Source organism: Homo sapiens, chromosome 3 (assembly GCF_000001405.40).
Source record: "Homo sapiens chromosome 3, GRCh38.p14 Primary Assembly".
NCBI lineage: Eukaryota > Metazoa > Chordata > Mammalia > Primates > Hominidae > Homo > Homo sapiens.
Window position 1 is genome coordinate 139,357,319 of NC_000003.12, and position 22,643 is coordinate 139,379,961.

At 37.1% G+C, this 22,643-nt stretch overlaps 1 protein-coding gene across 4 annotated transcripts in view; it reads right to left on the bottom strand.

Moving 5' to 3' along the window:
• Positions 88-22,643, bottom strand: part of COPB2 (coat protein complex I subunit beta 2) — a 32,275-nt gene continuing 9,719 nt past the window's right edge. For 2 of the 4 annotated variants that reach the window (NM_004766.3, NM_001410834.1), the window contains 20 exons: positions 22,062-22,148; positions 21,729-21,855; positions 20,723-20,871; positions 18,150-18,296; positions 17,171-17,270; positions 16,348-16,490; positions 15,895-16,094; positions 14,405-14,515; positions 12,138-12,226; positions 11,943-12,049; positions 10,827-10,970; positions 9,697-9,827; positions 9,250-9,457; positions 5,089-5,199; positions 3,763-3,977; positions 1,952-2,044; positions 1,680-1,860; positions 1,426-1,494; positions 882-953; positions 88-640 (listed from right to left, as the gene is read on the bottom strand). In NM_004766.3, coding sequence (NP_004757.1) covers positions 545-640; positions 882-953; positions 1,426-1,494; positions 1,680-1,860; positions 1,952-2,044; positions 3,763-3,977; positions 5,089-5,199; positions 9,250-9,457; positions 9,697-9,827; positions 10,827-10,970; positions 11,943-12,049; positions 12,138-12,226; positions 14,405-14,515; positions 15,895-16,094; positions 16,348-16,490; positions 17,171-17,270; positions 18,150-18,296; positions 20,723-20,871; positions 21,729-21,855; positions 22,062-22,148 — 2,580 coding nt within the window. In that variant the 3' untranslated portion in view covers positions 88-544. Of the gene's footprint in view, positions 641-881; positions 954-1,425; positions 1,495-1,679; positions 1,861-1,951; positions 2,045-3,762; positions 3,978-5,088; positions 5,200-9,249; positions 9,458-9,696; positions 9,828-10,826; positions 10,971-11,942; positions 12,050-12,137; positions 12,227-14,404; positions 14,516-15,894; positions 16,095-16,347; positions 16,491-17,170; positions 17,271-18,149; positions 18,297-20,722; positions 20,872-21,728; positions 21,856-22,061; positions 22,149-22,643 lie in introns of those variants that run through there. The other 2 variants (NR_023350.1, XM_047449233.1) reach the window with 2 other exon arrangements.

The window sequence follows — 22,643 nt, forward strand, 5'->3', positions numbered from 1 at the left end:
TTCACATCCTGACTCCAGAAATGGGTAGCTGCTAGACAAAATCGGGGCAAGACCTGTGGAATGATGCAATGAGGTCAAGAAAAAGGGTTTAGAGAATTACAGCCTGGATATTCAGCTCTAAGAAAAATGTGATTGACAACATTTGAAAATGCAGATTTAGTTATACAAAGAAAAGACAGTGGGGCTGATCCCTAGGCAAGGTGTAGTTTCGGCTCAGCCTTCTAAAACTAGAAGCCTATTTTCATTATTGAGAAAGGAAACAAGTACCTTCATTAATTCAAAAGGTTTTATGAGATATGGTCTAATAGTATGAAAAAAATCAAAGCCCATGTCTGTTTTAGTTAACAAGGAAAACACAGTGATTTAAATGCTGCACATAAACTCTTCTTAAGATGATGTGGGCATTGTGCTCCCAGTGGTCCACAGCATTTACATATAAAAATCTAAGAAGTTTCTCATAGTCCAAAGCACTGTGGTCAGGGTAGCAATCAATACCTATATATAATAATGATCTGTTTAGTCAGGTAAATGGAAAGCATTACAGTCAATCATCCAAAATATCTTCATCCAGATTGATATCTGTTGTGTCAATATCTTCTAATTCCAAATTATCCAAATCTACTTCTAGTTCGAGTAAACTCTGCAGACAAAAGGAAGAGGGTAATTAAGTTTTACAGTACTGTTAAAGGAAAGTTATCCGTGGGTTCATGATTCAAAGTGAGAACTAAGATTTTCTTAATAGTCAAAAAGAGCATCTTCCCATTTCAAAGCCCCTGCTCTGAAACTGATGTCACTTAAACCACAGAGGCCTACGTATCCTCCAGATATTGATGGGGAGGAAGATGGGGTAGAGGGAGGTTTGAGTATGATGTCTGACCTACCTTTTCTTCTTTGTTGGCTGTGTGGGAGGCCACAATAACCGGAGTAGGAGAAGCAGGTTTCCCATCAAGTTCCTGAAACCACAAGTGAAGATATATATGAAGACAAGGGAATTTACTCGGGAATTTAAAGTTTTCCCCCAAGAAAAGGATGATCAGAATTAGGAAGTGGGAGATGATGTTTAAAAGTGAACCATCTCAGCCAGGCACAGTGGCTCACGCCTGTAATCCCAGCACTTTGGGAGGCCGAAGCAGGTGGATCATGAGGTCAGGAGATCGAGACCATCCTGGCTAATGCAGTGAAACCCTGTCTCTAATAAAAATACAAAAAAATTAGCCGGACCGGTGATGGGCGCCTGTAATTACCCCAGCTACTCGGGAGGCTGAGGCAGGAGAATGGCGTGAACCCGGGAGACAGAGCTTGCAGTGAGCCTAGATCGCGCCACTGCACTCCAGCCAGGGCAATGGAGCGAAACTCTGTCTCAAAAGAAAAAAAAAAAAAGTGAACCATCTCAGCCAAATTTATCACATGAAGTGCTCTACTGACCTGTTGAGCTGTAGATCTTGAGGGCTGAAAGTCTTTTCCCTCTTCCATGACATTTCTCTCTTCATTTGGCTATCAGAGAATAAAGCAATGATGAAATGAGATATTCTGAAATCATAATTTACCTATGAACTTGGCCTAAATCCCAGATATCAGCTCTTAATTTTAAAAGAAGACAGCAGTTCAAAATCTGAAGTCCTGAATGTACTTCCACCCTGTAGTTACAATAAATGAAGCTTGACATCCTGGCCACTCACCGTGACAAGTGGGTATTGTTTGGCTGGCCACAGATCAGCATGTGTTTCCTTCACCCATTCTTCAACAACAAAGGCTTCTTTTAATCCAGGGAACAGGTTTTCATACTCTGTTGGGTCAGCAAGGGATTCTGCTGCTTTCTGATTGACTTTTGAGAGATTCTCTCTCCAGAGTTTCACTACCCTATTATAGACATCATGGAACCAAAGAGAGACTAAGTAAATGTGCTCTCTTTTTATTGGAAACATTTCTTCCTAAAATTAAAAGTCTGTACCTTGAAACCTGACTGGGTAAGTAAGTTCGGGCCAAGAAGGCAGCTTCTGGCAGCCGTCCAGTTCTAATTAAGAGCTCTAGGCAGGCATCAACCCTAAACATTAAAAAGGAGAGGTACTGTTACCAAGAATAAACACTATAATAATGGGTACTTAACACAAAGTAAATTTAGTGTTACAAAGCCAAAAATCTCCCCAATCTTCACACATATATCTCATTTCTGTCACTTGTCTTTTAATGGTTGTTAATCAACACACTGCAAGGGTATGAGGGATAAGACAGCTTTCCTGACTACTTTGAATCTACTTAACTTAATTATTATAATTCCTAAGAACCTAAAGGGGCTTTTCAAGAGGAGTTAAGGCAGGTTAGATTAGCAAATTTTAAAGGCATAAGGATATATGCCAGCAGAAATTCAGTTCCACAAGACAAATATCTAGGGCAGTGTCTCCAACATGGGAAGGGCCAGACAAGCCAGTGGTGCCCAGCAGAATACCATGGTGTCTTATTTTTTCTTCTATTTTAATTTCATTTTTTTTCTGTGCAAGTTTTATGATGTGGACAATATGTTTCAGAATTCAGGATTTTTTGGATTTTCGAAAGGTGATACAGTATGTATACTATGTATTACCTTACATCCTCAGCATGAAAAAGCCACAAACATTAATACTGCAATAACTTACATAGGAATGTTAAATGCAATAAAAATGTACCAAGTTGGTATAAAAGCAACTAAAAATACTAAAGCAGTTCAGCTCAGGTCTTGCCATCAAAACAGTTATAACTGTTTTCAGAATATTTTTGGATTTTTGAATTATGGATAAGGAATAGGGTCTATTCTTACAGGTATATAAATTCATAAATACATTCACATACATACAATGGGGTGCACGTTCAAAGTTATATGGCGAAGTATGGGATTGTAAAAAAAAAAAAAAATCAGTATGTAGGAGAAGGTTAAAGAATACTTTCGGGCTGGGCGTGGTGGCTCACACCTATAATCCCAGCACTTTGGGAGGACGAGGCAGGCGGATCATTTGAGGTCAGGAGTTTGAGACCAGCCTGGCCAACATGGTGAGACCCCATCTCTATTAAAAACACAAGCCGGGTGTGGTGGCGCATGCCTGTAATCCCAGCTACTTGGGAGGCTAAGGCAGGAGAAGGGCTTGAACGAGGGAGACAGAGGCTGCAATTAGCCGAGATCATGCCACTGCACTCCAGCCTGGGCAACAGAGTGAGATTCCATCTCAAAAAAAAAAAAAAAAAAAGGAAAGAATACTTTTGTGTTTTATTTCATAATACTGCCAACTAATGTCCAAATGATTTGGTTTATGCTAACTCGGTTAGACTTAAAAATATGAGACATCTTTATGCTTTATAGTGGGCTCAAATCTACAAGTAAGTGGCATACTTATCCCCTTTTGTTCTTGCCATAAATGGATCAAAGTTATCCAATTTGGGTAAAATCACCTGCCCTTCAGGTACCTACTAGAGCAGCTCAATAGCCTCCTGCAATCATAAAATAAAATGCTTCCACCATTAACTGGCAGGGCTGTTGAAGAAGGTGTTTAACATTTCTCCCACTTGAGCCTCCCTGAACAGCTCATTTAGCTCAAACATTTAGATAGATGTGCTAAGGGCATCCCTTGCTGAAGGTGAGTGCCACCAAGGCAGCACTGTCCTGTTCTGACTGCCCCGTCTATTCAACACCATTTGGCCATTCATCAGTTCTCTCCAGGGTTCATTCTTCACTTCCCTCTCCAAAAACCATCCTCAGTGTAGAATTAATTAATCTTTTAAATTAATACTCACTTGCCCTGTAAAAAGTAGCTCATGAATGCCACATTATTTTTGCCATCTCTCTCCGCACCCTCTGCTAGCTTGTTCACCATATTAGCATTTCCAGAGGCAGTGGCCAAAAGCAGCAGGCCCCCATAATCCTGTGCATGATGCAGGCACTCCTGGGCTAGGCCAAACTGACATTTACTAATGGCAAGTTCAGCAAGTTGTTTCCACTTCTGTTCTGACTGTAAGAAAAGAGTTTCCAAGTTAAAATATCTTTAGAAATAAGCATTTACATTTCCAACATTATTCTGTTAACTGTGCAGACAATGTTTATAAAAAGAGCTGTGTTTGTTAAGTTGGCTCTATCAAAATAAGAATGGCATTGCAAAATGTACAGTGAGGAAATGGAAATTATTAATGTATACAAAATGAATTTAAACACAAATCAATTTTAATGATGTGCAAATAATTATCGTCAACCCATTATACTTTTATCTTATAATTACACAGGGAAAGTAAAACCATCTCACTGGAGTTTTAAGGCAATTAGACTGCAATTATTTTAACAAGTGATTTAATATCACTTTTTTGAAAGCATACAAAACTACGTCTTTAAATATTTCACAATAATATTATGTCTCACTTGTAGCTTTTCAGAACTCAAAATGCTGCATGTTTAGATGATCTTAACGTAGCTAAAATTTATTTTGCACATCTGAAATTAATTTACCAGTAAATGCCAGTCTGAAACAATTGGGAGCCTCAATATACAAAGATCTATAAAAATATCATTACAAAAATGGTATTAACATTTCTCCCACTTGAGCCTCCCTGAACAGCTCATTTAGCTCAAACATTTAGACCAGATGTGCTAAGAGCATCTGCTGCTGAAGGTGAGTGCCACCAAGGCAGCACTGTCCTTCTCTGACTGCCTGCTCTATTCAACACCAAAAGATGAGGGGGTTGGGCTGTCTTTCAAAACCAACATATTTTTAGTTAGTTTCAGACATTGGCAAATAACTGCTATGTCTGTACTCTTAGGCTTTCCAGACTAGTTTACATACTATTTTACATCTTTTCTTATCTTGCAAAATAGAGCTCACATAAGATATGAAAACAATTTTTCTTAAAACAAATTAGAGTGCTAAGAATATCTCCAATGTAATCAATTTAACTTATGCAAAGTTTAACATAATACATCTTTTAAAAAGATAAGAGAGAGACAATAACTTCAACAAAATGAGCCACTAATTTGCATTTGGGAAAACTTTAATAACAAAACATTACACCAAACACATAGAAGTACCTACTGACTTTTCCATCAGTTATGAAAAATCATGAATTAGTACATACCTCTGCTTCCACTGCTAACTGGTATGCAATTTTTAACTCTCCAAGCTGAAGAGCAAGCTCAAAACGATGCTCAGGATCTGTGGATACTGTAAGAGCTTGCTGCTTGAAGCCCTAAACAGATTTTTAAAAATTATATATATTTATGCATACAAAAATGTATGTATGTTTTATATATATATATATACACACACATATACAGTGTACACACATTCACAGAGCAAATCATTTCCCTCTCAAACTAGAAACCCCACTATTTAATAAGAAGATGGAATAATTAAGGAGTCATTAAAGGAAGTGGTAAGAACAAACCTGGCAGATAAAATATTCAGTGACAGAATTCTTACTGTTTATTAGGATAATGGAAGCTGGCTAATGTTAAACTCAAGTAACCAGTAAAACTGGAAATGTAAATATAAACAGATATGTCAAAAAGAAAGGAATTTTGCAAAGTTGACTAAACAAGAATCATTTCAAAAGAAGAAAACTAGGCACAGCAGTGTAAACTTAGCTGTTGGTAATCTACTCAACTAGGCTGGGAAGTAGAGATCATCTAGTCCAACCCCTCATTTTGCAGATGAGACTATTAGCAGTAAATGGCCAAAGAAACGGGAGTCAAATATAAAACCTTCCAACTTTCTGTCATCTGTAGGTCATAGCAAACATTGTGTATTCAGGTCCAGTCACCAATTAGGTGTCATTACCTATTCCTTTATTGTTGGTCTCAAGTCCAGTTCCTCAGCAAGTATCCAAAAGACAGGAAGTCTAAAATTTCCTTCCCATGCTCCATTAAGGCATTAAGAACAAGCTTTTAAACCAGGGGTCTCCCAAACAACCAGTCTGTGGCCTGTTAGGAATCAGGCCGCACAGCAGAGGGTGAGCAGTGGGTGGGTGGGTGAGTGAGCATTACCGCCTAAACTCCGCCTGTAACGGCATTAGATTCTCATAGGAGCATGAACCCTATTGTGAACTGTACATGTGATGGATCTAGGTTCTGTGCTCTTTATGAGACTCTTAATGCCTGACGATCTGAGGTGGAACAGTTTCATCCTGAAATGTACCCCCTTCCCATCTGTGGAAAAATTGTCTATCTGCCACGAAACTGGTCCCTGGTGCCAAAAAGGTTGGGGACCACTGTTTTAAATCAACTATTGTAATTATTAAATTAGCTTCTCCTTCAAGACAAACACTACTGATGGGGTCATTTTTAGCTCTAGGGATGTAATGTGTTACACAAAAAGCTCAGGGATAGTTTACCTCTTCACCAGACTGAGGGAGAATGCTCATTTATGGGATAGTCAAGATTGAGAAGCTGGACAGCTTTAGGGTTCTGTCTGGCTATATCTTCAGGATGGCTTTATCATCAAGTTTGAAATGTTTTAACTTCTCAGCTTATACAGGCTGCCAACCCGCCCCGATCCATCCATGAATACGATGTAAATAAGGCATTCTAAATAACCGGAGTTACTTTTTTTCCACTAGCATTGATATAGATAACATAAAACCCAAGAGTGGAGGATGGAAGATCTCTGGAACTAGTCAGATACAGCCAAGGGCAAAACACATGAAATGAGGCGGACTAAAATATATACTTTTGTTTTCTGCTAATTCCCTACTACTAATAAAATCACACTAAAAGGATTTTTTTTTAAAGGCATAAGCTCCCAACGACACACAGAAAGGGAGAGGAAACAGTAACAAAAGTTTGGAAGCTGGAAAGCTGGTGGAGGAATATAAACATTTTGTTAAAACAGTAGAGAAAACAGATCCTAAATCAGGAGTGAGAACAGCATAGAAACAATGTGATTTACACCCAGTGTGTCTCATGAATGGTAGGGCTAAAAACAAACAAACTGCCCTAAAAGCATTCAGAAACTCTAGATCCGCTCCCCTCTCCCACCTCCCCTCTCTCACCTCCCCTCTCCCACCTCATGACAAAGAAGACAGGTTTATTCTTTGGAGAGGACAAACTAAAGAGTCTCCAGACCAGGAGATTCCAAGCACACTTGGAGGAAAAAGTACAGAGTATCAAAGGAAGACAGGAGATTATGAAAATGGATACACAGACTCAATGAAATATTAAATACTGAGACTCCAAGGTATCTTCTACTGAGACCCCAAAATGATGGTGACTGGGGAGCTTTTCAGTAAAATCTACTGAGCCCAAGGGAAAAGACTTAAAAATACTAAAATGTCAACTCCATGAAGGCTACATGTCAGCAGGAACAGTGCCTAGCACATTGTTAAGTGCTTGTTAAATTCATTACATAAATGGAAAGTCATCAAAAATTCATTGGCTAAAGATACTGACATTGAGACTCCCTAATCAAATGGGCCAACCACACCAGATATTGTGAAATCCAAACCCAATATGCCCCACCCACAAATTCAGACCTTCTGATCTGTTTCTTGTACCTTCACTCTTAAATGAGGGCCCAAGGACATCAGATACTTGAGGAAAATCACTAACAGCAAAGATGCAGATCAAAATGAAGCAATAAAAGGAACGTGAAGGAAGCATACCATATAGGGGGAAGAGAAAACTTCAAAATCTAAAAACAGAAATATATCATTCATATCTGTAGAAAGATACGAGAAACTTTTATCTATAAACAATAAGATTTTAAAAGAGAATAGGAAAATCAGTGCAGGACATACAACATGAACAATTCCAGAAAGACAGAATACAGAAAACGAAGGATATCACCATAGAACGATTCATGAAAATCCTTCAGAAATGTAGGACATAAGTTTCCCATTAAAAAAGCTCATCTAATAACTGGCAGAATTAATGAAAACTGATTCCTACCAAGGCCTACCATGATTATAACATTTCAGTACAACAGAGATGACATTCAGAAAGTTTCCACAGAGAAAAACCAGGTCATGTACTAAGAATGAGGAATAAAAATGGCTTTAGACTTCAACAATAACTACAAGGCAATGGAACAATGCCTTCAAAATTCTGAGAGAAAATTACCTCCAACAATTATATACCAGTTAAATGGTTGAATATGTTTTAGGGTAGAACAATGGCACTTTCAGATATTCAAAGTCACAAAACAATTTATCTCTCATTAACAATCCTTTTCTCAGGAAATTGCTGAAGGGCATGTTCCCCTAAAATGAGGGAGCAAAGCAGGAAAGGAGATAGGGGTATAAGAAACAATGGATCCAACAGGACAGAAGCAAAGGAAGCCCCAACATGATGGTGAGGGGAAATCCATGATGAGAGCAGGAAAACCAGTGCAGTCTGAAGGAGACTAAGCAAACTGAAAGGAGATCTTCAGGAACTCTGGAGAACCAGCAAAGTCCAGGGAGAATTAACCACAGGTACATAGAAAATTAAGCAAAGGGGGGAAAAAGACAATTATAAACTAGGGAAAACAAACAATTGCAGGAAAGGAAAGCTAGATAATATGCTACATGTTCACCTGTGAGCAGTGATTACATAGCCATAATAATGTAAACATTTGAGTAGTGATCAATCAAAATTAGAACTATTCTGAGAGATAAAGGATAGGAAAGTGGCATGTATGTGGTAGACGCAGGGGAATGAAAGAAGGCGAAATTCTCATCTTCTACAGAGGGGGAAGTCACAAGAAATGCCTAAAGCTAAGAAATGAAGAAACTGCTATACCTCAAGTTATTTAGAGATATGGAAATAAATACCAAAAGAATTAGATAAAATAATTACCTCTAGGGAGTAGAAAGCAAAAAGGAGGGCTGATTTTTTTCTTAAGCTTTGCAAAACTTACTTTATGCTTTGCACATATGTAACTTTGCTTAAAAAACATTACATAAGAAAAAGTCATGTCATGGTACATTTTATATGTATTTTAATCATTTTTTTTTAAAAAGCAGATGGGATAAAGCTAAAAATGCAGTGTAGAAATGAAAATATCAGGAGACTGGAAAATAAGTGCACAGAAAAGGAAGACTGAAAATCACCTCCAACATTTAAAGGGGGCACTGAGAAAGGAGAAGGAAGAGTGTAAGAAGGGTGTATCATGTGCTGTAATAAGTGCCTTAAACTCACAGGAGAAATTCTATTGCCACAGGAAATCAGTTGGCAATTAAGAAATAAAGTTTTTCAACTCCATAATAATTTGCTTTCAAATTGCAAGTTTTAAAAAACAAAAAGAAAAAAACAAAACCTCTTACCTGCTTTTCCAAAAAGTGTGCAACTCTGGTCCTCTGTTCTTTTGGAATGGTAGGAAGGACCTTATCAGCCATGCTAAAGTCCCTCCGCATGACAGCTGTCTGGTATTCCAGGACTGAAACCAGCAGGGAATAGCTAATGATGTTCAATTCTTTATCCCCCAGATAAAGCCTGTTGTCTTTAGGAATGTAGCCTAGGAGATACATCGTCCTATAAAAGAAACAGAAACCAAGTTAGAAATTCAAATCTGCAATTACACAAACACACACCCCGCCAATCTCCCTCTTGCTCAAAACCTTCCCATTTGATTGACACAATTCTGGTTAACAATAGGCAACCTACTAAAACTATAACACTGAAAAATCAGCCTATCATTGCTACAAGCCAGCAACAGATTTTTCTAAACACACTTTAAAATTTAGGACAAATGCAAAATGATACTCAGGTACCTGTCCAAGTGGGCAATGGTGACTATTTCTCCTCCAACATAATAATTTAATCTGTTCACAGAACTTGTGTAAATGAAGCAATCGCCTACCCAAAGCCCTGTTTTCACAATTTCCTGAATCTCACCAAGAACCTGCAGAAAGAAAAATAAAGACAATTACTTTATCCAACATCAGAAATCTCTCAATAAAAAGCTGAATATATCTGAGGGTGATATGGCAGAATAAGGAATGCAAAGTAAAATCCTTCCTATTTCTAGAAAAAAAAAATTTTCCTTGGAATTTTTTTTTTTTTTTGAGATGAAGTCTCTGTTGCCCAGGCTGTAGTACAGTGGCGTAACCTCTGCTCACTGCCAACTTCTACCTCCCGGATTCAAGTGATTCTCCTGCCTCAGCCTCCCAAGTATCTGGGATTACAGGCGCCCGCCACCATGCCTGGCTAATTCTTATGTTTTTCGTAGAGACAGGGTTTCACCATGCTGGCCAGGCTGGTCTTAGACTCCTGACCTCAAGTGATCTGCCCACCTCGGCCTCCCAAAGTGCTGGGATTATAGGTGTGAGCCACTGCACCCCGCTGGAATTTCTTTCTTCATTTAAGAACAGATTCCTACTCAATATAACCCTTAGGCTCAAAACAGAAAAAAAAACAAAACAAAACACAGAACAGATTCCTAGATTAGTATTTGTAATGTGAAATCTCATTGTTGGGTCAAAATCATGATATAAAAGAATACTGATCTAAACTTAGACCCTTCATAACATGACAATGAAATATTAAGTATTTCACAAAATCTAGGACATCTGCACAATAAATGATTTACCATTTGGGAGCTTATTTAAATCACTGACTAAATAGTCTTAGGACCAAAACAACTATAATTTCTTTACTGAAAGATATCAAAGTAAGTCTAAAGAATTCTTAAAATCAAAGTACAAATTTCTTTTAAACATATTTATTTTAAATTTTGATCTATGAGTTACGATTTTAATTTTTCACATTTCACCAGAAATCCTTAAATGCTGTCTCCCTACACCTAATTTATAACGAAATGTTAAAATCAGTAAAGTCTGTTGTAAGAATATAAATCATTTAAAAACAAAGCTGAAAGCGAAAGTTGTGCTGATGCAATTACCTCAAAGGCATCTTCAATGCCATCTTCAGTAACTCCCTCATGTGTTTCCTGTGCAGCCAAGACTTTTTCTGACAGATACTTAAGGATAAAAAATGATTCCTCAGTAGCAATACAGACTAGCTCTCCAGAGTCAGACCAGAAAATCTGCAACACAACAAAATCATAGACAACTGATTTGGATTTCTGAGTGGATATGACAAACTGCACATACTTGGTTTCTTACAACATTTACCTTCTTATATCAAGATGATAAGTATTCACTTAACAATTTTATGTGGCATTATTTGGGAGGGTGGCCAGCTATTATGTGGCTATGCTATTTAGCCTAGCAATGGAAAGACCAAAGGGAGACAGGAAAGGAGAGCTGTCAGTAAACACTGAATGTGCTACACAGAGGACCAGTAGCCTATTCCCTCTTGCTCTAGAACAGTGTTTATCACCTTTTTTATTTTTTTCATTTTCACCCACCCTCCCTAGAAGTCTTTCTGGACATTTTTCTAATCACCTCCCCCAATGAAATTTTAATACCACAGATATACATATATAATGCATATACATATGTATAGCTATGCTTTATTCATAAAGAGTAAGCCCCCAAGTCAATGTTTACACCCACTGAGGATGCGTGCTCTAGAACCAGACCCCAGAAAAGCTGGTTTGTTTCCAAAGATAATCTCCTGACAGTGAAAACTGTCAAAGCAGCGGGCAGTTCTAAAGGTAAACACTTTGTCACTGGAGATGGTCACCTCAAGTTCAAGCAGCTATCATCAAAATGTATGAAAAGGTTTTCTGAACTATGTGGAAGAAGGCATTTCCAAGTCAAGAATTCTCTGACTTCTTGTTCTCAAAGCATGCTTTTTTCCTGTCAAAATGGCACTGCCACTTACCTCCAATTGCTCAGAAAATCAGGATTGTTGTATCCTAATGAGGCCGTAGACAATGTGTATTTCAAAAGTATAAGAAGTTATTTAAATTCTAAGTGCTGTTTTATATTTTAAATGGCTTTTGATAATCGAAGAGGGAGAGCAGGGTACAAAAGACACTTCTTGGCCTTAGGGACCCAGAACTCATCACAAAAATAAATATTCCAAAAACAACAATGGAGGGGAAACTCACATGTTTGGGCTGAATTTCAATTCTTCGTATGAGTTCTGTATTGTCCCAGTCATAGAAGGCTAAGCCATTTACAGATCTGACTCCCAATAAGAAGCCGCCGTAGATACCTAAAGGGAACATAAAAAGAGTTTTGCTTAGGCATTTTTGAGCCATTACAAAGAATTTAAAAATGTATCATATGTAGATCACACTCACTTTCTGCTCCAAAATCTGGTTTAAATGATTTTTTTTCCTTAAAGTTCTTAAATATCTTTACAATGCTGTTGCTCTCTCTTATTGCATACCTGGGAGAAAAAAGGGAAGGCAAACATAACATGTTATATACTAAATCATAGTTCTACCAAATGTTGGAAATATCTTCAAATATTTTTCAGTAATTATGCAAAAATATAAAATAAATATTTGAAGATTATCTGATGTACTGTTTTCCTAAGAGATCAGAGAACTCCTTACAGTTGGACAAATGATGAAAGGGTTTTATACTGTGTATGACATGAATTACTAGGGCTTACAAACCACTTTAGAAACTGAAAATGACCCAAATGTCCACAATAGGTGAATGATTAAACAAATTATCGTATATTCATATAATGGAATGCTACTCTGCAAATAAAGAAACCAATTACTGATCCAGGCAAGAATATGGATGAATCTCAAAAACATTATACTGAACAAAAGATGCTGGACTCAAGAGTACATACTGTATGATTCCATTTATATGAAACTCCAAAGACAACTCTAATCTATATAGTGACAAAAGGCACTCATCAGTGTTTGCCTGGGACTGGGGAATGGGTGGATGGGGGGTATGGACAGACTGTTAATGGAGACAAGGGGATTTTGCGGGGATGATAGAAATGTTCTATAATTTGATTGTGTTAGTAGTTACGGATTACATACATTTGCCCAAATCTACTGACATGAACAGTAGTCCTCCCTTATCCATGGGGGATACGTTCTAAGCCCCAATGGATGCCTGAAACCTCAGATAGTACTGAACCCTATATACACTATGTTTTTTCCTATAATGTAAGAGGTGGGCAGCATATACAATGTGGATATGCTAGACAAAGCGATGATTCACGTCCCAGGTAGGATGGCTCAAGATTTCACCATGCAACTCAGAACACTGGGCAATTTAAAACTTATGAGTTGTTTATTTCTGGACTTTTCCACTTAATATTTTTGGAACACAGTTGACTGTGGGTAACTAAAACTGCAGGAAGGGAAACCACAGATCGGGGGATCGCTGTACAATTAAGTGGTACATTCTGTCTTCTGTAAATTATACCTCAATAAGGGCGATTTAAATAATAAAAACTGTGACAAATGGTTCATTAATCAGCCATCATCAGCAACAACTGCTTATATTCAGGCCTCTGCCTTGAAAAAAGGAGCTGTGGCTATCACTGGATATTTAAGATTGTCTGAGGAAGTGATGTGATGAGGGCTTTGCTCAGGACAGGAAAGATGCTGAGCAAGGTCTTGGCTGGATAGAGCTGAAAAAAAGGACTATCAAAATAGAGGAAGAGGTGTGCTGAGAGAAGGCAATTCATCAACTATAATTTTGCTTAAGATAACACATTACCTTTGAATACATAGAACTGTATGTATATGTGTATTTAGGAAATTTATGAAAATATCAGAACAATTCCATACCTCTCAATAAATCTTACTGTTGTAACATTTTAAAAAATGTATCTTATTACACAACGCTGAGGCTTAAGTTACCCCACTGTTGGGGGCAAGATGCAACATAAAATGTGGGGCAAACAAAACTAAAAAAACTGTGAAAATGTAATTCAGTTGTGTGGTCTGAAAACACTAAACCCCTAATGTTTATTACGTGCATTAAACAGGAATCAAAAAGGAACCAGAGCCAATGACTAGTAAAAAAGTCAGAGTTAAATGATCTTTCCTGCTTTTAATGAGAACATTTTATGAACATTCTGAATTCAGACAGAAATTTGTTAAGAATGGGCAGTGGGTACTATCACAGAAAATAAGTTTTAAAAAAGATTTAATAAATTTCTCATCAAAATGATCAAACCACAACATCACTCCCAAGTAGCTCATAAAGGGGCAGTAGCACCTCAGGACACTACATCACAGGGAGGGCATGCCAAGGCCTGCCAAGGCAGACATGAGGGTCTACTGTGCCTTAAGCCCATAAAGCACCAGGTCCTGCCATGGGCTCCATCAAAGAAATGGGTGCTGGGTCCCCAGTTAAATGGAATTATTGTATCAGCTTGAGTGAGCCAGCCTAACGCAGAACAAAGAAAGCACTAAGACGGCTCATGCTATACACTCGCCTCTGACTCTCATCTTCCAATGGACAGCTCTGGTGAGAACTGTTTTTTAACACGGAGAATCACAGCCCACATCAAGCCTTGAGAGTCTTCAAGCAGCACACAACACATCTGCAATCAGGGCATGCTGGCTATCATACAATCAAAACTTACTCTGAAGAATCGTGGGCCCATGCAAACTCCTGAGCAGATCCAAAGCTCTTGTTTCTCAATGCCATTGCTGTGTAGATGATATACTCCCCATCACCACACACCACCACAAACCTAGAAATCACAGAAGCCAGGGAGGGAAGTACAGAGGACCAAAGACATGTAGAAGTTAAGGAACAATAATTCATGTTATGGTAAAAGAATTCTAATAACAAATGTTATTTAGTTCATTATTACAATTTAACATCTTTTAAAAGTTATACATTTCTTTGAATACAAAGTTACAAAAAAAATTCTAGCCAACAAATTGAAAAGGAAATTATGAATATGGCATTACTGCTGAAATGTTATTGGAATGGTCTTCTCATAAATAAAGGCAACTGGAGGCAGGAAGGTGAGAATGGCTGGAAATGCAAAGGAGGAGGATTCCAATTATTCAACCAGTATTTGTTGAGCACCAAGATGCCTAGAACTTTGCTCATGACATTTATACCACAGGAAGGCACTATATTATTACAAAGACTATCTTCATTTTAAAGCTGATCATTCAAATGAATAAAAATATCTCACTCCAGGTTTTAAAGACTTAAATTCAGCAAAATACAGAGGATATTTTAACATTTAAATAATGAGAAAACAGAATGCTGCAGAGTCAACGAAAATTTTCCCAATGGACATAAGACAACTATCTTTAAAGTTGTTTATAACACTGTAAAGGCTGGTATCAAAAGACTGCCAAAGGCAAAACTTACAGCCAAGAATGTTTTACGATATTAAGGGAAATATGCATAATGCATTCTTAACCTTTATAAGACAATTATATTACAAATAATTATGGATACCATTTACTGAACTAGGCGGCATACTTGGTTTATATCTTTTGTCTTTTTCAATACTCAGCACAGCATTATAAGATGCCCAGACCTGCTGTAAAATAATTTTAAAGCTCCACAGGTTTAGACTTCACTGTGCTAGAAACTCCTCTCTCACAAGATGTTTGGTGACTTACAAATCTTAAGGGAGAAATTCAACTGACAGTTCGAATTACAAATAAGAAACAGAATTATTATCAATCCCAAAACTTTTTCAAAAGACACATATCTCAGAGTCAGGTTTTCTTCTTGAAAGAGCAATGAGTCAGCAAGCATTTAGAGAGGGCACCTACTAAGTCTCAGCATAAGACATACTCCTTGCCCTCAAAGGAGCACACAAAAACACAAACTCAATGCATGCGAAATAACAGGAAACTACTATTTAACTATTCAAAATTGTGTGGTATAGAACAAGTCCAGATGGGAAACATGCTCCATCTTTTGTGCCAACTTGATCAAGTGGCATGGCTGACTGCAGCTGTGTTGAGGATTGTGAGGCCAGGGCAAAAGCACATTGAGGAATGATTAGAGATGCCAACCACAGGGCAAGAGTGGACTGTGGATCTGCAAACCTGTTCTAACATACACAGAAGCTGAGGGACAATTTTGGTGATGGCTTACCGCCCATTAGGATTGTGCTGAATAGTCTGAGGGTATATTTCACAACTGCCCATATCCTTTACTGCCAGTGGCAATCTTTCACCATCTTTAATTTCAGCATCTCCCATTGCTTTTAGGTTGGCCTGCTGGACTTCTGAATGCTTGGCCCAAATTATCTTTCCATTGGCATCCATGGACATGGCAGGTTCCTCCCGACCAAGCTGAAAGAAAGAAAAATAGCTCTCAGCAATGAAAAGGAAAATGAATAAAACCAAAACAAAACAGATTATTTTTTTCACCTAACAGAGAGCTCCATTTCCTTTCTTCCACTTTAAATCTTCATTGCTTAATGTCTAGTGCTTAATGAAAGAAGTGCCAGTTTTATAAAACTGGTTACTTGGAAGATGACAGTACTAAAATACAAAGAAAATGGTTTTGCCTATGTCCACCTACTGAGAGGGATAGTATAATTACCTTAACAATGATGCTCCCTTCATCATAGCCCAAAGCGACATTGTTTGACCCTCTTAGACTGGCCACGCACCATACCCTCTCCATTCCATAATTCAGTGTGCTCTCAAGCCGGTAGGTGCTTGAATGCCAAATACGTACTGTTCCTAAAAAGAACAATGTAAATACTCCCTTTTGATACAAACATCCGACAATAAACTGTGTCAGGTGAAAGAGACCCATAGAAGTCTTTCTATTCAAACAGATAACACTTCCTGGCAGCTTAATGACCAATTTTTTGACCTACTGTCTTTAAATGATTTTTAAAAGCAACATAAACATAACACATAACATATAAGAAACAAAAACTAAGAATTACGATTTTAAACATGAAATAATAACAGGATTTCCTGGGTAAAGTGTTTCCTATGTGCCAGATGCTTTCTACCCACAATTTCTTCTCACTATAATTTTATGAAGCAGATATATATGTTTCCATTTCATAATTTGCCCAAACACACATTCATGACATAACAGAGCCTGATTTTGAACCCAGGTTTGTTTGACTCCAAAGCACATGCTTTTTCAGTTTCTCTTTAGGACAGCTGACGGTCCTCTTATTTAAGTGACAGAATCAAAATACATGAGAATGATGACGATGATGATGATGATGATGATGATGATGATGAAAATAATGCCCCTTTACTCTTTTATAGCTTAAGTCTGGTACTTTAATAAAAATATCAAAATCCTTGGAAACCTACAATTATAATGCAGAGACATTACTTGCTTTAAATGCCCACTGAGTAGTTACTAGCACAGGAATAAACATACCCTTCTAACTTACCATCTTCTGAACCTGTGATAATGATTGGCAACTCAGGATGAAAGCTGGCACAAGACACATTTTGGGCATGTCCTTCCAGTGTCTGCACACATGTTTTATTCTGTAATTAAGACATAGAAAACATGTTTTATTAATGAAAAACATGTAACCAGCCCGCCCTTAATTTTCTCAGTGTACAGATACATTATAAATGATAGTAGTCATGAAAATCTAAATAATATCCAATATAGAAATTTTTGAAATAGGATGATCTTGTTGTATATATGAATATTTTATCTAATTACTTTGTAAAATAAATGTAAATGTAACTATCACATTTAAAGAAGGGGAAAAAAACCCAAGAAGGCTTTTGTCTGAATATTATTCCCCCAAATTCTCAGGATAATAGATTTCCCCCTTAAAACTCACACCTACCATCACTGGCTAAGTAGACAGTGCTGCTTTAGCCTTTAATATTTTTATTCTGGATTTAAGTACAAATCTGAAAATGTTTCAAGGAAAAACTGACTTTCTAGACCTCATTTTATTAATTGCTTATGGGAACTTTTGATGTGGAAAACAAAAATATCAAAATATAAGAAAATCTTAGAGATAGGAAGCATGTTAACAAGAATTCATAACTAGGTTTACAAGAGTACGATTTGGCAAAATGGTTGGTAATTGTTGATCTGCTAGCTTACAAAAATGAATAGAAGTCTATCAATGAAGATTATGGAGGATAATTCAACATTAAAATGTTAAAATTTCTAAATGCAATTATGAAATGAAATATGAACATGTTGGTATTTTATTTTTAAAATCTTGATATGCATTGTTTTCATTTTTATGGAGAATTCTGGGAACACAGTTTAGGTGCAAATACTGATACCTTAAGTTATTATGCTGTGAACAGTTTTCAACAACCCAAGTCTTAACTGTCCTATAAGAAATAGTAAGAAACATATCTAACATATGGAAGTAAGGTTATGAAAAACTGTACCTGATAATCCCATATTTTAACAAGACGGTCATCTGCACCTGAAATGAGGTATGGCTTGTCCCCACCACTGTAGTAATCAATGCAATTCACGCCTTTCTCATGTCCTTCCAAAGTGAAGTTTGGTGACGAAGAGCCCAACTGCCACACCTGCAGAGAGAAACAGCATCGGCCAGTCAATATGGGGCCTTGCTTTACAAAAGGCAAATCCACCATATTTCTGACACATTATGTAAAATGCCAAAGCCCAGGAGAGAAGAGCTATCAAATTTTATTTTTTATCCTGTTTGGTTTTTGTTCTTTCTCATTTTACTTGAATTTTCAGGGAGCAAAATCACTATGGCGTTCTTTAAAAGAAGTGCCAATTTCCAGGCTTTATCTCTAGAGATTATAAGTCAGTCAATCCACAGTGACGCCCAGGAATCTAGATGTTATGAAATTATTTTATTATAGATTTAATATACAGCTCATGAAAGTAGATTTAGTAAGATATATTAAAAGTTGCTGGGTGTGGTGGCTCACACCTGTAATCCCAGCACTTTAGGAGGCCGAGATGGAAGTTATCACTTGAGCCCAAGAGCTCAAGACCAACCTGGACAACACAGCAAGACCTTGTCTCTACAAAAAAGTAAAAAGTAAAAAATTAGCTGGGCATGAAGGCACACGCATGTAGTCCTAACAACTCAGGAGGCTGAGGCAGGAGGATCGCTTTAGCCCAGAAGTTTGAGGTTACAGTGAGCTGTGATCATGCCACTGCACTCCAGCCTAGGCAACACAGACCGTAACTCAAAAATACATAAATAAATAAATAAAAATAAAGGCCTATTAAAAGGAGAAAATTACTGCCTAATTACCAATTTAAAGTGTAGAAAATTGTTAAAAATTACCACAGCACAGAATTAAGCTTTATCTTTACAAATATTTATTGAGTGCCTATTATATGGGAGGCCCTGTGGGGAGTATAAACGTGTAACAAATGTTTATCAATTACTGTATAAAATAAACTTTATTGGAACTGAAGATAAGACAATTATTGTTCTCAAGATAAACCTAAATTAGTAAAAATAAAAGTTTACAACTAATTTCAAAGTTAATCTATGTCAAAAGCAAGGATAATCCAATCAAAGGCAAAATAGCTAAGGTTAAAACCCTAAGATATTCAGACACATAACATTTTACATAAAGGAAAACTACTAACAGTGTTTTATATAGGTGAAAGCAAACATGTAAGCAAAAGTTAATTTATTTTAAGTCAATGCATATGGAAATATTTTAATTAATTAATTAATTTATTTATTTATTTGAGATGGAGTCTCGCTCTGTCCCCCAAGTTGGAGCGCAGTGGCGCAATCTCGGCTCACTGCAAGCTCTGCCTCCCAGGTTCATGCCATTCTCCTGCCTCAGCCTCCCGAGTAGATGGGGCTACAGGCGCCTGCCACCACACCCAGCTAATTTTTTGTATTTTTAGTAGAGACGGGGTTTCACCGTGTTAGCCAGGATGGTCTCGATCTCCTGACCTTGTGATCCACCTGCCTCGGTCTCCCAAAGTGCTGGGATTACAGGCGTGAGCCACCGTGCCTGGCATGGAAATATTTTAAATATTATGATAAAAAAAAGAAGCATGATTGCCCTCACTGCAACATGTATTAAGCATCTAGGTCAGGTAAGGCACTTTGCTGTTTGCTATTGAATGGCTGGGGAAAGGGAGTGACACAGTTTCTATCCCCCAAATCCAGTATTTCAGGGGATAAAGATTTCCAAAAACGTGTAATAATAATTCAATCTGAGAAAGGCTGAAACAGAGGCAAAAAGCAATGGAAGAAATGGGATAAGCATAACTGGCTCTGTCTAGAGGTGAAGTTGATGTCTGACAAGAGGTTCTCAAGAGTAAATATTTGTGCTAAACCTTAAAAGCTGAGTAATTCTCCGGAGGAAAATATATCAAAATAGGAAAATAAAGAGAAGTGCAGGAAGATGGAACAGTTCAATGAAGTAAGGTTTTGTGAACATTCATAGCCTCTCTAGAGGATGGTGAGTAGACCAGGGTTTTAGGAGATGTCGCATAATATTAGCCCAGGCTAGTCCTGGAAATCCTTGTATTCCACACTAAGGCATTTGGACTTTATCCTTAGATCAGGAACTGTTTCAGAAAGATAACAGACAGCAGTGTGGTAAAATGGAGTAAGAAAGAGAGAATAGAGGCATATGGAATTTAAATGTAAAATAGATAAACGATGAGCAGAAGTCAACAATGAATACTAAAAGGAGAGGACAGTAGTATCCTAAAAAGATATTGGCATTTTTCTTATTCTGGGTTTCCAAAGGCTAAAAAATTTTTATAACATGCTGCCTCCACACAGAAAAACGCTCCTCATTAAGAGCACTGAGTTGCCACAATATTTTTCTAAACAGAACATGTCGTTTGGATTAAAATGAGAAATCCTATTTTGACTTCAAAACAGGCTTTTGAGGAAAATTTTTAAGATGGGTACATTTCTGACCAGTCAACAGTAAAACACCTAAGGCAAGTATAGTTCACTAATAATGATAACTGACACAAAATGTGGATGCCCTACCTTGATAGTCCTGTCCAAAGAGGCACTGGCAAACTGATTGTTATCTTTGGGGTTGATCACAATCTGCATAACATAATGGGTGTGTCCTTCAAACACTTGTGAGCAAGACCATTTTTTATCCCAGTCCCAGAGCTTAATAAGCATGTCATCTAGGCCAAAAGAAAGTCTCAAGTTAGTTGTAATTCTATTTTTTCACTTCATAACTAAGACACAGTCTTTAGAAGAAGCAAACCTAACACAAACCATATAATCCATGACTTACAGAAATAGAATCAAAACCAAATAGAGTTTTCAAAATGCTTATTTATCTTAAAAATAAATTTAACTCTCTACAGAAAAGTGGAGATAAAATAAATAAAATAGATTAGAAATAGAAAATATAAAAATTCTGTGAAAAAACTTAAAAATTCAGTGGGCATTAAAGAATGGCCAAAGAGTAATATAAGTTTGACTAGATCTAAGCATGACTGAATAGTGATAGCAATGACTATGTAGAGAACAAGCATTTGCCCTCACAAGATTGGTTTTTAAAAAGTTTTTAATTACTTCTCAATTTTTAATTTAAAAACATTTCAAAGAGCTATTACTAATTCAGTGCTACCTCTTTTTCCAGTCCTCCAAGAGGTCTACTATTTATACACAATACCAAGGAGCAAACTAGTTTGAATATAAAGATTGAACTGAATAGGGTCTATGGCAATCTGCCAAAAACTCACTCATCAACATGTAAATGACCTTTCTGTTCAGCAGATGTTTAAACATCTAGACTTGTAGGTCTTCTCTGACAGGAACTGGAGCAATCATTACACAAATCCTAAGTACAGTTGATATTTCATTATAGTACAAACACAAGCAGCATCAATAGCACAGTAATGGATCTAAATAGTTTAAAGGCCGCTTGGAATTAGAATTATATTTGTAACAGCAGTTAAAGCATAGCATGTCTCAGTGAATGAAAATGAATTACCCAAAGAGACGCACATGACCAAAAAAGGTCATCTCTTACCACTGCTAGTTAGAATGAAAGGCTGGGTTGGATGAACAGCAATACAGCGAATGTAGTCTGAGTGTGCTTCAAACATATGAACTCTCTCCAGAGTATTGTAATTGAACACTCTAATCTGCATGTCATCCTAGAAACAGAAATTTTAAAACCATCATCCCTGTTATCAAGTAAATTATACAAAAAAACTATATCACAGGCTCAAGGAATAAAGTCTATGCCTCAAAACATTGCTGTAAATAACAAAACAAATCGGGAATCAAAATCCTGCAACAAATTTACACAATCATTGACCAATTCAGAAAATGGGAATAGAGATTCATATTAATTACTTACCGCTCCTGTCACAACCCAATTCTTCCTTGCAACAAACTTTGCAGCTCGAACAGGAAGATCACATACTTCAAATGTCTTCACCAGTGTCTTTAAAATGTAACAAGAATACACAAATTGAGCTATAAGAAAATAACCACAAAATCTACTCTGTTATATTTCAAACATCCAATTTTTAAGATCACTTCTCATTTTAGTATATTCTCAGGCTAAAATATAAAAGCTCAACATTCAAATTTTTAAAAAAGACCAACTATCTTTTAATAGATTCGAAATTAAAACACTTTTTAAAAGATAAGAGAAGGCAAATATCCACAAGATGGTATTCCAGATCCTCTGTGCTCCAGCCCTTCCCTCCCTTTTCCAGCCTCACCTTTGGCTACTCCCAGCCTCACCTCTGCTCTTGTTGTCTCTGACTTGAAAATCCACCCATGGAAACTTGTACTTCCCTTTCATAATGTAGCACCTCATAATTATGTTTAGTGCCAATCTTTCCTGCTAAGCTCTCCAAAGGCAGGAATATTTTTCACACTGTATAGGCAGAGGATAGAACAGTGGCTGGCACACAAGTAGTGTGTAATAAAT